The 17,276-nt window shown below is 36.8% G+C and overlaps 1 protein-coding gene across 1 annotated transcript in view; it reads right to left on the bottom strand.

The window, feature by feature from the left end:
- Positions 1-17,276, bottom strand: part of RARB (retinoic acid receptor beta) — a 768,612-nt gene that overhangs the window by 409,045 nt on the left and 342,291 nt on the right. Inside the window, exon 4 of the mRNA NM_001290216.3 lies at positions 14,313-14,769. Coding sequence (NP_001277145.1) covers positions 14,313-14,490 — 178 coding nt within the window. The 5' untranslated portion in view covers positions 14,491-14,769. The remainder of the gene's footprint in view (positions 1-14,312; positions 14,770-17,276) is intronic.

Genomic DNA, 17,276 nt, shown 5'->3' with positions numbered 1-17,276 from the left:
AATGTCCTCATTTACAATTTTAAAAAGTTACACATATAATTTTTTCACAAGTGGTCATAAAATCTTTCTTTTTCCAAATAAAACATGGTATGTATAAGTAAATGAATTCAAGAAATACCTCATATTATCTATTGTGGGTAAAAAACAAGATGATGTATATAGTTTCTCACACAAATGGTAGTTATAATTATTATAGATAGTAATAATAACAACATTTATAATTTAGCTGAAGCCTAATAAAATACAGAATGACTTAGTCATGGGTAGAGTACATGGATATCAGATGATACCGCTTTCAAAGAAGCTGACAGAATAACTTTTCTACTCCAAAATACCTCCTTGGAAATTTTACCACTGCACGATCAGGACCTTAGCTTAGAAGTTAACACTTCAAAATGCTAATAAACCTCTGAAGGGTTAATTTCTTGGAAATAGAATCAGGCATGAATACTTTTGATCTTGATTTAGCTAGGATATTTGGTTCAGCCGAATACAATTGAATTAACCCAATAAAAGGTCTCCCTTTTTAAAATTAGTTCCATAAATAATTATTAAACACATTTATTTATACAACAAACATTTAGTGAGCACCTACTATGTGCCAAGCACCAAGCTCTGAGCAATGAGTATTCAATGATGAGCAAGATGTCATGGTCCCTGAATAAAGATAAATAAAACATCAGGGATGATTCCCTGACCCAGAAATGAAGACTATTAATATGCTTGCTAGAATTTGTCCTAAACCCACATGGATACCCCAAAACATATACAATATATATGTTAAAAATGTAAGAATATTGTCTTGATACTTAATATTTAATTCTATTAATTCGGTAACTTGTTTATCCCATTGAATATTTCCATGTCAATACATTCATTTCTCCATCGACATTTTAAAGGACTGCTTGTTATTTTCATTCTCTAATCAGTCACCTCTTATTAGCCAGGAAGGTTGTCTTCAGTTTTTTAATTACAAACATGTCTGTGCTAATATCTGTGTTGTCTCAAACACACTAAAACATTTATTTATTATGAATAAATTCATCGTAACAAAATGTAAAGTCATAGGTAAAATATTTTAAGGCCTTTTTACTAAGTTCAAAATTATTTCACAGAAAAGAGATATTAATTTTCTTTCTCCACAACAAGGCTGTATCTGAGTGTTCATTTCTCTGTAGCCTGAACACCATCAGAAATCTTTTAAATCTGTGCCTCGTCACAACAAATGAAATCTTCATTTGCATTTCTTTTTAAAATTGCTTTTGTTCAATTACTTTTAAGACAAAGATTAAAAGTATTTTTATTAGCCATTTGCCTTAAAAAAAACTTTCCCTTTCTCCTGTCTCTAACACATGAAGGATATATTCATATTTTATCTTTGTAATGTACGTTTAATAAGCTATAAAAATGTAACATATATGCATATGGCAAAGCATACTGGAAGATGAATACTTAATCACTTAAAACTTTATCCTTTCTGCTGTGTCTACTCATGTGTTCTTTATCCTACCCACTTGCCTGTCCCACTGCACCACCAAGAAGTACCTGTTATCTTGAGGTTAGTGTAACAAATAAATAATATATAGCATTCTTACAAATACCTATTTTTCTAAACAATGTTTATTTTAGATTTTAACAGGGTTCAGAACATGCTAGTCCTATATTATGGCAGCATGGTTTTTGAGAAAAAAGCAGAGGTAAGAGGCCATTGTCTTCTTCCTCTCACCATGCTCTCCTGCAGGTCATAAGACCCTCATTTGAGAGGTTCCCTCCCAATAAGAGGAGGAAAGGCACATCCCTATCTCTGAAGAAGCATGGACACAGACAAGAATCTAAGCAAACTGGTTTTGAGAAGCACCCCTCAGGGTATTACCATTAAATCCTACTTCCTTTGTTCCATCGTGTGACTGATATGACTGGCTACTCTTCATCAAACTTAGCAGGAAAACACACACACACACACACACACACACACACACACACACACACACACACACACACAGGCTTACCTTTTTCTTTGGGTCTTCATTTCTGAAGGTTCCCAAGCATATATAACTTACATTAAACAAATTTGTATGTTTTTTCTGATGTTAATCTGTCTTTTGTTATAGGTGTCTCAGTCATGAATCTAGAGATGGGTGAGGAAAAAAATCATTTCTTTTCTACAATTTATAAAAATGTTGGCACCCTATATGTGCACTTAAAGAGTTTTTCATTCATTATCATTTCATTCATTTCCATTCATTATCTTTCTATGATCTATCCATGTTCGTGGTGTATAAATTTTCACTGATGAATAATATTCAATTTAGTGAATATACCACTTATTTTGCCTACATCTGCTCATATTCAAATAGCATCCTTTTTTTATAATCTATGACCAGTGCTACCATAAACATTCTTAAACCTAAATTCATATTAAAGAGGTTCTCTAGAATAATACATAGAGGTAAAATTGTTTGGTTGAAATCGAATCTGAATATTCAATTTTATAGAATGTGCTAAGTCATTTTCAAAACAATTATACCAGTGTAGGATCTCACCAGCCGTGTGTTTCAAAGTATCTGATGATCCACACTCTTTCTAATACTTGGTATTGTAGCCATAATTCTTAATTTTTTCATCTGTACTGGATATAAAATGGCATACCATGGTTGTCTTGATTTGTATCACCAATATGAGGTTGATATGGGATATCTGAATTTCTTTTTAGTGAAATAAAATCTTTTGTTTATTTTTCGTTGGGGTTGTCTTTTTTTCTGACTTGCACAAAGTCTATATACATACTTTATGCTCTTATATATTTTGTCTTTGTTAGTTGTATTTTTAATTGGAATGCTGGAATTCCCAGGGTCAAATTTTGTTCTTTTTCCATTCCATAATACTCCTTTGTTCACCCAATACTGGACATACAACTCTGTTTTCTGTTCTTAAAGTGAAGACAGAAAAACTGTGACAAGTACTAAAGATGATGTTAGCCTTTGCAGCAATTTATATATAATTCTATTACATGTTTAATGTAGTCACCAAATATTATCATCAATAGTGGCATACGAATTCTTTGATTTGTTATTTGGCTTTAGTTCTGGAATAAGATTTCTTATAGAAGAAAAAATGAAAGACAAATTCTAAAATTGCCTACACAAAGTCAGGACAGAAGTCAATGTGGCTATGAAAGTCACTTTATGTCTCAGAGATTTCCATCAGGACTCACAGAAATTCCTGTTTTGGCATTCTAATAAAAGCCATTCTGATTATAAAAAAAATGATTTACTAAATATTCTTAAGTGTAGAGTTCTTTTTAACCATGTGGTTATCATTAAAGCACTATTCACTTGTATGAAATGTCAAGGTTAATTTTTCTCCTTAGGTACTTCTTTTTGGTTGGCCAATTTCACAACCGTTAAGCAATTAATATTAGTGTTAGAAAGTGTTCATTATTATAAACATCACTGAAATTAAGTCAAGCATTATTAGAGATTGTTTATAAAGGACAAAGTGACATGCAGACCCCGCAGGTCCTAAGAGAAAAGGAAGTTTGGTCTTTAACTAGTTCTCCAACTCTAAAGGATCCTCATCTATGAAAAATAGCCTTAAATGTTGTGTATTTCTTGGATGTGAACTCTTCATGATAAATACAAAATTATTCATCAGGGCAAGCTTACTTATGAAAAAATGTCTTTTCTAATACCCAAACTTAGGATTGTCCCCTTGAGAATTCTGAAATTAAAAAAAAATATATCTTGGCAGGGTATAAGCTCTATGAAGTGAAAACTTCCATATGCCTAATGTAAACTTTAGAAATATGTGCAAAAGCACATGCACATGTAGAAAGACCTTTGCATTTTGGAAGTTAGAATGCATAATTAATGGAATGATTGTCCTGTGACAAGATTTTTGCTAGTAAGTGGATGAATTGTGGCCGCAAAGCATGGATAATAATAATGAATGCTATTATTTACTAAGTTTTTACTTTTTTTTTTCTTTCTTTTTTTGGACACAGGGTTTTGCTTTGCTGCCCAGGCTGGAGTGCCAAGATGTCATCACAGCTCAGCGTGGTCTCTAACTCCTGAGCTTAAGTGATCCTCCTGACTCAGTCCCGCAAAGCGCTGGGAGTATAGGTGTGAGCCACCATACTTAGCCTACTTTTTACTCTTGTAACACTGTTATAAGTAGCTTACATGTATCAATTGATGTAAATTGATCATGAACAACATCATAATTTTTCAAAGATAAATTGTCCTTATTTTACAGAGAAAATGGCACACAGAGGTTAAAAATCTGTCCAAGAACACAGACTGGGTCTGGAAGCAGCCACCTCTCTCACTCCATTTTCAACTTCCTATCTTTCTGCATCTCCCCGCTCCCCTAGATTTTCAACACTAACATCAATTGTGGTTCAACAAGATGAACCTTTCCTAATGATTAGTTTTGAGTTAACTATAAGCTCCCAGAGGTTAGGGGCAGTCTCCAAGCAGTACTTCTCGCGGGACCACATGTGATTCACCATGAAACAACAGCCAGGTAACTCTGTGCTATCATCAGTGCCCACAAAGCCACAGATAAACTCTGGCCTTACTCTCAAAATGCCCTATTTTTTTAATTTTGTCTGAACATTTGCAAAGCTTATGGGCATTTGGCAAAGGATCTCAGCACTAAATTAACAATGCACATTCTCATTGAAAAGCAGTCATTTCCACCAAATGTACAATGGCTTTTTTCAGATTTGGGCAATAACTAGAAAAAAAAAACAACAAACTCTGTATTTGTAGATTTTCATATTATTAAGTTTGATTCATCTGATTAACATAAAAAGACAATGGTAGGGGCCAAGTTAACCAGGGAAGGATTTAGTTAGGGCCAGAATCCTTTAGTAAAGTTTAATGTGGTGAAACCCTAGGTTACCTCAAAGAAGCTTACATAGGCTTTTGGCCATAAGAAACTAAAAGAATCCTGGATAAGGGGAACTAATGGGGACAGATATAAAGACCAGGACACCAAAAGTGTGTACAACTAATTACATAACAAAATTAGCTCTAAATATAAGGGAGAAGACAATAAGTGTTATTGCAGGAGAGATGCTAGGGATGGACAGAGGAATCGTTACAATTTGACTGTTGAAAGACTGTCCAAGAATTCTGGACACTAGAAGCTGAGGCAAAGTCAATATGTAAGTTTGTACGATAAATTTATAGTATACAAATCCTAAAGAGAGACTAGAAGATAAGCCAATAAGGCGATGTTCAAGATAATACAGAACTGATAATTATAATAAGATCACTGCCACCAATAATCCCTCGGTGACTGAAACTTGAATATGAACTTGTAATATGAATGGTTTTTCTGAAGAATCTCACAGATTCCAATTTGACAGTGATGAGTAATCCTGCAGGGTTTTGAGGCAAAGGTTTTAAAATGAAGAATAAAATGAATATTAAAGAGAACATGTTGAGGTCAAGAAAGGAGATGGGAGTTTGCCATCCAGTAAGACAAAATGAAAATCAGAGGAAGAGAAAGAAATTCATTCTGAAAAATTGTGAACATTGTGAATTATAATCACGGACTTGTAGCTGTCAGGATAAAGACAGATTGGCTATGCAGTAATAAAAAAAGTCCTTTCTTCAAATATTATTCATTAGTCCAAGCCAAAGAAGCCACATGAAGTAGGAAAAGAAAGTCATTATAAGGACAAAATTATGAGAAAATAAACAAATTAATGGATATTTTTAGAGGGAGAAAGTTTCGAAAACATAGTTTTTTCTTTTTCGGTAGTAAGAAGTTATGGTCCCTGTATCAGTTTTCTAGAGTTGCTGTCACAAAATACCACAAACCGTTCTGTAGGCCAGAAGTCCAAAACCAAGGTGCTGGCAGGGTTGCCTCCTTCTAAGAGCTGTGGGGGGAATGTTCTCCATGTCTCTCTCCTAGCTCCTGGTGGCTTGCCAGCAGTCTTTGGCTTTTGGCAGCTAGCTCCAATCTTCACATGTGTCTCTATCTCTGTGTTTAAATTTCCCCCTTTTATAAGGACATAGTCATACTGGATTAGGGCTCACCCTAATAACCTCATCTTAACTTAATCCTATTTCCAAATAAGGCTATGTTCACAGGTACTGGGGGTAAAGGCTTCAACATCTCTTTAGAGGACACAATTTAATCCATAATAATTTTACAATTTTTCTGGTAAATACTAATATAATGTCTCATTGGAGATAGAACCTGACACCACACACAAGTGAAAACCCATCATTCTCATGGATTTACCCAGAAAATTCTCACAGAGCTTCTGAGGTGTCTGACACAATACCTAACACAACCCTTATGTGTTAAATATATATCAGAAGAGTGAATTCATTATAACAATACTTTTGAGTCCCTTTTATACCCCTTGGGGACATTGGCTACATTGGCTACACATCAAGAAATGAAGGCAAGTACTAGATGGTTACTTCCTAACCCCATATGCCTTCCAAGACAGGAAACTTTCCTGCTTTCCCTGGGTCTTCTGCATATCGCTGTTCCCAGCACCATGCCCAGTACCCCATGGCTGGCATAATTGCTGGTTCTGGTGTTGCAAGCCCTCCTTTGTCCATCTCACTTATTAACTCCCTTCCTCTCAACAGCTAGAGCATTTATTTTCTAGTCAGTTTATTTCACACTGTTATTTTTTCACTAATTCATTCATGTATTCATTCATTCACTCATTCATTCCAAAGATTCTCAACCCTTTGGAACCAATGCTTCTTTTAGCAACACATATCACCTGCTGTATGATTCCAAAATGAAAGTCATAGGTAATATAGGCCACCTACACCTACATGTAATTCCAAAGAAGTTAATACATTTCTCTGACTGCAATACCAAGGATGAATAGAAAAATGTAATTTTTAATAAAGTAATGGTTATTTCAATGTGTAATTGCTCAGGCATAAAGAAGTGGTAAGATGCTTGCCCCTCTATGCAGAATTAGAGTGAATGTTTTAGTTATGAATGCAGATTGACACAAGTTTGTGGAATTGGTGACTTGAATACCGAGAACAGCACTGCCATCGGTGACATGATTTTATAAAATGATGAATGACTCTCAGAAGAGTTCCCAACAGAACAAAGATCAACCTACTACTGACTTGCATGGCAATTAAAATCCTAAATAATTTAGGGTATAATAAAAGCATACAACAATGTTTTGCATTTATATGTAAAATGAAGTTATGATTTAGGATCAGTTCATCATAATTTATTTGGGGGTAGGGGTGGTTCTTAACAGGAATGCCTGGTGGGACATCGGAAAGTCATGAGAACATGAGGCACTTCTTTATTATTTGCAACTATCGCATACATTGCAGGACATTAAGCCTCCTAGCTTCTGCCCACTAAATCTCTACAGCGCTCCCAATGAGCATGGCACTCAAAAGCACATCTACAAATTTCCAAAATTCCCTCACCAGCAAAAACCATTGATTCAATCATTCCGCAAAGATGAAATGGGTTTCTCTACTATGTCCCATGTGTTAGATCACCAGATAAGCAGTGAAGGAAAAGTTATGAAAACAACTAAAGACAGCAGAATAAGACATGCATAGTAAATCAGAGTACTTACGATGCACAGTGGGTACCTGGGTGGGAAGGAATGTTATAAGCTTCATAAAATCTAGGTCCTGAAGGGCCAAAGAGCAATCAGGGTTTTAGATCTAAATGGTTTTCAGTGATTATGACTTCTCAGTAGGAATGCAATATCCTTAAAGACAGACAAAGTGCTTTAAAAACCTGTGTGTCCCCTCAATATCCACAGCAAACATAGAGTTATGAAAAGAGGACTGACTTTGGTCATAACAAGAAGAGTTCAAGCCCAGCCCCACCACTGAGCAACCTTAGAAAAGTTGGTTACCTGGATCTTACCTTCTCTATTTCCCTTTTCCAGTTGGCAGACAGAGGTAATATATGTAGCAAAAGAAATGTTATTTTTGACAATTAATTTTCATGGCAAGGTTAAAAAAAAGCAAGGGAATTGATGGTACCACCTGACCATTGGTTGGTCTGGGAGCCCCAAGTTTTTGGATGTGTTCAAATAACAAGACTAATTAGATTCATTCTTTCTCTCTCTCCCTCTTTTTCTCCCTTCCTCTTTCCTTCTCCCCTACCCTCTCCTTCTACATAAAATTACAAAGATTCATTCAAATGTCAGAGGGAACTAAAGGAGAAAACAGAGAAACAAAGACAGAATGAGTCGCTGCATCACGTCAGTGACAAGGCATAAGTCACCAGAGCTTTTGTGGGACTTCCTGGGATATATCCTGAAGATGGCCCAGGCCACTCCACCTGACCTCATGTCCACCTACCTGCATGGAGGCTAATCTCCCATCGCTCAAGGCCATCTGAATATAACCTATTTGAAATCTATAGGAGTTGCAGATGGATGAGTTCATTGAGGCAGAACTTTAGAACATGAGATATGGAAAGTCTCATTTTCTATAATGAACTCAGCCAACTCAAAGCCATTGTCATGATTCTAACTTTTCCAAAGTTCAATTTTTATAAGGTCAAAATGCTCTTTTTAAACGTCTACATTTTATCTAATAAATACAACCGGAATGTCTTTATCGAAAGGAATTCTAATACAAATTCTTAAACCATTACTCCATCTTTTCTCCATTCTTGGTCCTTCTTTATATATATTCTTTCAGTCATGTCCTTCCTAGGAAAAAGGTGATTGGCAGAAGTAACTTGAAGGTAAAGTCATTCCCGTCTTTATGATGGCCTCTACGGACTGAAAGCCTACCTCTACTTAGGGACATACTTCCACAATTGAGACACTCCTTTGGGCATTGTAGTTAATCTGATCAAAGTGAATGATATTCTTTTTGTTTTTAATTCATATTCATATATTCTTGATCCCTTTGGGGGTAAAGATCAAAAAACAGAATGAGCTCAGCTCCTCATTAGAACTCTTCTAAGGATTATTAGGTTGGTGCAAAAGTAATTGTGGTTCTTGCCATTACTTTTAATGGCAATGTGATTACTTAATACATGTTATACTCAACCAGAGTCTGGGGAAGTTGTAGAAACATCAAGAAGACACAAAGATTCTTGTTTTTGGGGGGAAAAGAGGCACTAAAGTAATCAATACCTGTTCAGCTTTAAGGAATGGCCTCTTAAATACACATGACTCTGGGCCTAAGAAAGTCCACTAAAATAGTTTCATCATGTCAACAGTATAAACTCTATTTCTCAAACATTCAAAGCCTTTGACCTCCCTAAGCCAATGAGGGAGGTAAAATGGACAAAACTGTTATAACTGAGTTTACTCAAATTCCCAAGAAGTGTCTTACTTTCATTCATTTTTATTTGGTTTAACAATGTAAGGATACATAGATATAAATGATACTATTATGTTTGACTTTCACAAAATACCAGCAATATATTAAGTCCCTGATATCTTAAAATCAAATGTGATTCCTGTCCAGTAGAGTCATTGCATAAGTTTAAGGACAAATATAACTCAATAGAAAGAAGACAAGACTATGGAGTAAAAGGTGATGGTAGAAATTAATGAGTTGGATTTACTTGCCATCAATCTGCATATACTTAAAACAGGATCCACACCTCTGAGCCAATTGTCCCTAACATGTAATAAGGAAATTCAATCGATCAGCACACCCTGCTTTAGACAAGCTAGGTAACAAAGCTCTTCTTAGTTTAAGACAAAAAATAGAAATAAGACTCATTTTATGTTCCATCATTGGTAATTCTGAGATTGCACAGCCTGTCTCTCCAGAAGGTTGGGATTTTTTAAGCAAATACCCTATTTTGTGATTTTGACAGGAGAGCACTTTCTGATCATTAAAAAAGAAGGGGAAAAGAATTCGCATTTTAAGATGCTGGAGTTAAACTAAGATCATTTTGAGAGAGATTCTGAAGCCAAAACACTTAACAATATTTTCCAGCTTGCAACAACCTATAAAAAGCACATGTGCAGCAATAAAACAGAACAAGCAGCCATGAAAGGAACATAAAGAGAGACAGACAGACAGCTGTCCAACTCTCACAGAGAGCCCTACCACATAATATTTTGAGTGTTCCCTGGCATAGCATATCAGGCTCTTCTCCTGTTGGAAGTCATGCTTATCAAAGGCAGTACGGCGGCACTCTCTCAAGTCTCCATTGTGACGAAAACTGATAGTGGCTTCCACAGTAGTTGATTAAATTAAAGAGGTTGCAAGGTCCTTTAAATATCTATCATCTCCAAGGACTCCCTGGAACATCGTGGAAAAAAGATGTCCATGGTGGAGCTGTCAATTTTCCAAGGGATTATGCTGGCCTCATTGCCCAAAACACTGGGAAAGGCATGCGCTCTGGGGTCTCGGGGTCTGGATTTGGAATTTGACTCCAACATTAACTGGTTATGTAAGCTCTTTACTCTCTCTAAGCCTCCTGGTCTTTATCTGTAAAATGGAACTTCTGTAATGGAATGGCAGTGACATCGAGGCTATTAAAAAGACTAAGAATGGCATACACTAAATGCTGTGTGAGTAATCCAAAATGTGCTCAATGCATGGTAGTTTTTCTAATTACATATTTTAACTCCCCCTTTTTTCGTATGTTCCCTGTGTTCTAAGCTTACAGAAACTCTATGCTATAAAAATTAAGTCAGAATGCAAAGACAAGGGCATGTACACACAGAAGATGCTTTCAAGTTCTCTTCTGCAAATAACTTTTCTTCTTTAAGGTAGAAAGTTCTTGAGAACAGACCTTCGGAAAAGTGGCCACATCTTCCCCTACGAATTGTGAGTGGTCACAAATGATCATACCAATAGCCAATTATTCCACACTGCAAAAGAACAGGGCCCACCCCCTGTAAATGGCATGTGGACCGGGAGAAACCTGAGTTACGTGAAATCATTGCCTATTAGAGCTGAAAAGATCTTGGGTATGATCTGATTTCACCCCTTTAAAGTACAAGTTTCCTTTCTAATTTAGACTTCGACTTCATTCTTAAAAGATTTAGATATATAATAAAAGTCTGTTCTGTAAGTAAAAATATTTTATAGTTGATAGAATAGAAATTCAGAGAGGTTAAATGACTGCAAAGTAGATATAGCATCAAGGACAACTTTATGTGTGGGAATGGAGCCATTGTGCTGTAGGCTTAGAGAAGTTCAATATGCAGAGCTCAGGTTCAGGTCTAGGAGATAAAGCTGACAAGAGTTAGAAGGGAATGAGAGAAGAGTGACAAGCAGGTATAACCTCAGTAGCTGCTATGGAAATTGTTCTTACTTGCTTTTGAGGTAGAGAATTATTGAGCCTTTACAATTACTTGGTGCTGACAGACCCTCACTACAGGGGCAGGAGAATTTATTCTTTCTAGTGAGCTGCAGAATCAAGACATGTACAGATTACAAAAGAGATATCAGTAAGTCCTACAGTTCAATGACATGAATCTCTTTACAGAGTCATTCTCCAACATGTTTGCTCCCTTTTTATTCCACGTTGGTCAGCTTTTCCACCCAAGTATGTGTGTTGCTAGTTATTGAGTCTTTACAGAATTTGGCTACCTTCCTACTAATCTCAGTACATGGATAAAAACCTTAAATTTATTTTTAGCCAAGTCTGTGGTTAATTTTTAAGTCTTTGTCCTTTTCTAGGAACTTTTGAAAACACGGGCTTTAACAAGGACAATTCCTTCTTTGAGGGCCAACTAACAGAGTCATATTCATTGTGGCTTCTTTTAATCATTTCCATCTGAGCAGCTTTCATGTGCTTCGACTGTAGCAAGAAATAATAATACAAGGTATTAGGGTATGAAGTAAGTAATCTTTGATGTTCCAGCCTGAACTTTCTGTACCTAGTCCTTTTTCTGCCCCTTCTCCAAACACCTTTTAAGGTGCAGTTACTTAGCACTCTCCTTACAAGGCCCTCAAGAAAAAAGTCAGCCACTATTTACCCTTTTTTTGAACTTCAAACCCTCGCTTTTCAAAGGTTGAATCTATTCAATTGCCACTATATAACCAGTTTTGATCTAGAAAATGACAACTGCATTATAGTTTAATCTAACAGTAATGGCATCTTGTACTTTATTAGTAACTGTGAAATAAAAATAATTACCTTGTATTTTGAGTGCAAAAGAGGCTTAGATATGATATATCTCAACCATTTTTCCATTTAATATGCTCTGCATTTTCCTTAAAATCAGTAGTAGCCAAGACCGGGCACGGTGGCTCACGCCTATAATCCTAGCACTTTGGGAGGCTGAGGTGGCTGGATCATGAGGTCAAGAGATCGAGACTATTCTGGCCAACATGGTGAATCCACGTCTCTACTAAAAATACAAAAATTAGCTGGGTGTGGTGGTGCGTGCCTGTAGTCCCAGTCACTCAGAGGGTTGAGGTGGGAGAAACACCTGAAACCGGGAGGTGGAGGTTGCAGTGAGTCAAGATCACACCACTGCACTCTGGCCCGGCGACAGAGCGAGATACCATCTCAAAAATAAATAAATAAATAAATAAATAAGGAAGGAAGGAAGGAAGGAAGGAAGGAAGGAAGGAAGGAAGGAAGGAAGGAAAGAAAGAAAGAAAGAAAGAAAGAAAGAAAGAAAGAAAGAAAAGATAAATATAAATAAAAATAAATCAGTAGCCAAAGAAGCCCAAAGCCCAAAGTTGCTTTTGGGAACCTAGAGGTTTCAGGCTGCCTTAGAGTTTCAATCTGCCAAATTTGATCATTCAGCATGGGAATCCTACTCATATCTCAACTTCTTGGCTACATCTACAAAATATGCTTCTGATCTCAGGAAAGAAACCTGTTAAAATGTGCTGTCAGGCCAGTTGAGCAACGGAATTAGACACAGAGGCTCATAGGTAAAATTTTAATGGCTTTATCAATCATTTAGACCTCCTCATTTGTTAGCTAAAAGTAACTTCATTATATCATTTGCATATTGAGTGAACATGATTTGAAACAGCACTTGGGTCAGCAAGATATTTTGAGTACTGGTACTATGTCCATTTCTCTGGATAGTCAATACGCCGCTTTGGCTGCTTCAACTTTCAGTTTGAACTTCAGAAGCATGGGAGGAGGTTTTTAGGCAATTCCAGAGACATGAGGGTCAAATGTTCAAGCCAGAAATTCGAAACACAGAAGGAAAGACTCATCAGCAAATCGAGTCACTGTTTATCAGGAATGATATAGTACTATGATTGCAATCAACATCCCAAAAGTGCAAGTCTATCATCTGTTTGCCTATCTGTCAGTCTGTTCGTCCATCCAAACACCCATCCCCTACTATTTTTGAAGGCAATGTACCGGGGATTCTACTTAGGTAGAACAAGCTCCCTGCTTTCGGTGAGCTAAGGATGTAGTAGAAGGAATGACTGAAGGCACGAAGAGCACAATATAGAAAGATTAAGGTGGTATCCCAATGATACCATGCTAATATTTGGGGGAAGTCCTTGAAGAGAAGCAAAATGCAAAACAATCACCAGGAAGAGTTACAAAGAACTGTTGCTCTATGAGCCAGAAAGGACTTGGAGAACATGCTGTGGATGCCTGTTGTTAAATAAATATGCCTTTTCACCTCCAGATGCTAAACCAAGTAAGTTGTTATTAACAGGTGGAAAAGCTCGCTGGCTACCACAGTTTGTCTTTAAACAGGCAGAACTTTCTAAAAATTGCACAATATAGATGTTTCAATGTGGAAGTCATATCAGTCTTGGAGAATTCTAACTTTGACTATTTTTATTTTATAGTACCTTATACAGAAAATTTAAGGGAAGATCTGGGATAAGAAATAGCTAGTACAGAAACAAAAGGTGCCAAGGACACTAAAAAAGCTTAATGTGATATGAATTGGTAGCAAAGGTCTATGGGAAGTTGAGAACAATTACAGATATCATTTGTACACAGGAAACAAGTAAAAGATTCAGAGAAGATCTCACAACCAAAATAGCTTTTAACTCTAGTATTATCATTAGTGATTTTTATGGTATCATCTCCTAATTCACTGCTTCCATTATTTATCATATGGCCAATTTCTTTAGATATTGATCACAGATATTAACCACACATGCTCATCACTTTTTGTGTTTGCATTTTATGAAACAGAGCAAAATACCAAAGCAGCTTTGAACGGGTTGAATTCTAAAATTTGCCACTTGTCTAGTTTCAAATCATATCTCTTTCCACAGAACTAAAAGTAGAATTCAAGACCAAAAGAAACCAGCACCCAATGAAATAAGAAATTGCCCTGGATACCAACCATTCCGTTTTCTCAGGTCCCTTCATCCAATCAACCCAGAGAAAAGAGAGCAAATTCCAGCAGGACTTACTTGCCGGCGACGGGGTGCTGCATCCACTCGGAGGCGGATGTCCATGAAGGCCATGGAGGGGAGGCAGGGAAAGTCCTCCGATGACAGGTGGAAAGAGTAACGGGTAGGGTGTGGCTGGATAGTGAGTCATGTGTCCGTTCACTGCTGGGACCGGACATGCGTGGCCGCTGGTGGTCATGTTTCGGGCCTCACAGAAAGAAAGGTGCTCTGGAGCAGGAACACATCACTCCAGGTCTTAAACCAAAGTGAGGGAGGCAAATGCACTGCAGGAGTTGAGGCTGAGCTGTGTTCTGGGCCAAAGTCAAGATGGTTCAACTGATGACCTTGCTTCTTCCCAGCATGGTTTCTCTGCCTGTCATTTTGCTACACTGATTACAGGAAGGATGCTTTCGTCGTTCAGCTTCGCAGTTTAAGACCAGTGAGACACTAGCACCTTCAAATTTCAGAGCTGTTAATTCTGTAAGAAAAAATGAAAAAAATATATATATCACAAAAAATCTCTCCCTTTTTATCAAGTTACTATACAAAACGTCTCTAATACTAATCCAGGTCTCCTAATTCCTTGTCTTCCTACAGTTACTGCTTCCCAAAGAGTGTTAATTTTCTTTTCTCACATTCTAACATAGACTACAACTTTTACTCAATTTAAAAATAACTGGCCATCTGATATTAAATAGCAAAACCTCCACTCCTGTGTTATTTGACTATATCACTCTGCTAAATTTTTCTCCATGGCAGTTAAACGACTTGATACATTACATGTGGGAGTGTTTGTTTTTGTCTGTCTCCCCCATTAGCATGCACTCACCAGGAGGGCAGAGTGTTTTTGTTAACAGTTATGCTTTAAGCTCCTAGAAGAGTACCTGACAAGGGATAGACCCTGAGTATGTATTAGTTGAATGAATGAAATTTTTTTTCTTGCTTTTTTAGGGAAACTATTTAATGCTATTCTAACTGATATGCTTCCAAATTTTACTTCTTTTATATGAGTAACTTTGGATTTTACGGTGGCTATTTGGAGTGACATAGCCAAGATAATAAAATTATGGGAGAAACTATAACCTAATGAGAGAGATAGTAAAATATTATGTATCACTTCTTTATTATCAACATCTTTCACAACTGTGCATCCATCCATCCATTTGTTGACCCATTTGTCTGTCTGCCTATCCAGTCACCTATTCACCAATCAAATCTCACTATTATGTGCCAGGCACTAATGTAAGAACTAGAGATATACACAGTGCCAAAGAACACTAATGTGATTTCTGCCCTGAGCTGCTAGTTTTAACAACTATTGATTGAGGTCATATTGTTAAAGAAGTCTAAACTGCCCCATGCTTCATGAAGGACAATCCAGAGATGCTCAACACCTAGGATTCCTTGAGACTGGGAATAGAAGAAGCTTAAATTCTAGAGTGGGCTGGCTGTAAACTTCATAGCCTCACCTTGGCCCTGATAACCAATATTAAGTAGAAGCTCCCAAACTCTGCCCACTGAATGGCAACCTCTGAATGTATTCATGTGGCACAAAAAAAGATTCATGTGGCACGAAACAAGAGTACTTCAAGGCCAGAATAGAGTAGTTGTTAAGAGCGTGATTCTAGAGCCAGTGTGTCCAGCTCAAATAATTCTGCCCCTCTGGCAATTATTTGTCCTTTCAATGTTATTTTTTTTTCCTGTAAAATAAGAATAATAGAATTTACTTCAGAATGGTATTGTGAGGATTAAATGAAGTAATACAACAGAGAAACAGTGCCTGGTATATAGTAAACACTAGGTAAATAGTAAACGCTTGGTAAGAGTTTCTATTAACATTAACATATTTGTTATCACATCAAAATAATATGCTTCTCACAACAAGCTTGCTGGAATAGACAAGAGGTTTTGGGGTTAGGGCAGGGAGACTACATTATAGTAATCCCAGGAAAACAATGTTAGGACTAAAGCTTACGTCCTTGAAGTAAGGAAGAAAACGAGGGATCTGGGTAAGGTTGAGAACAATCACTCATTAAGCCTTCTTGACTTCAGTTTTTGAAGTGAGTCAGTTTGATTCTTATAAACCCTACAATGTTCTAATCAAATATAATTTTCATTGACTATTTACCATATGTGAGGCACCTCACTATAAGCTCTAACCCTTTTTAAGGCAGATATTTTTTATTTTCCAGATGAGAAGAGTAGGTCTCAGTGAGTTTCAATGAATTCCCCTCAATGTCACAGAGTAAGCCCTCGCTAAGCCAGAATTTGAATCACCTTCTCTGCTCTTGCCCCTCTGCCAAGCTAAGCTTATATATTTTGAACGCCTGTTATGCTGGTTGTACTCTACAGAGGAAAAACTCAGTGAGCAGTCGTGATATTTGCTTCTGTCCTCACTTAGATGACATCTGCCCCAGGGCCTTGAATCCCTGGCCTATTAATATTAAAAACGAACAGTGTCAACAGTGAGACCATATGGTCCCAGGCCCCCTAGTACTCCGCTGAACTTACAAAGGAGATGACATTGCCTGTTGGCTTATACAACACACTAATTCTAAAAATCCCACCCAAAATTTCAATGCCTTTTTCAAACTTTCAAACTACAACTTGTTTCTCTGATGAAAAGAAAGTAAACAGCCTCTGAATCGGTTTCATCTCAGAGATGATTTTGGTGCTTTTTCTTCAAAAAAGCATACGTTATCCAATATATTCAATAGTTTTATTTTGTAGTTTGTAGCAAATTAATTAGAAAATAAACAATACAATTTAGTATTTGCTGAGTTTCCACTCAATTTGATTTTTAAATCACACACAAAGCATAGCATTGTTATAAATGGTCTTTCTATCTCCATTTGACAAACTACCTCATTAACTGGTGGAGCTGACAGTTCAGCAAATCCACCCCCGCAGGGCACAATTCTGATTTTTAAAGCTGTTTTTTTTTTTTTTTTTTACCAACCAGGGACTGGTTGGGAAAAAACCATT

This window comes from Homo sapiens, chromosome 3 (genome assembly GCF_000001405.40).
Source record: "Homo sapiens chromosome 3, GRCh38.p14 Primary Assembly".
Classification (NCBI taxonomy): Eukaryota; Metazoa; Chordata; class Mammalia; order Primates; family Hominidae; genus Homo; species Homo sapiens.
Note: the sequence above shows the minus strand (reverse complement) of the source record. Positions and strands in the feature narration are given on the sequence as shown.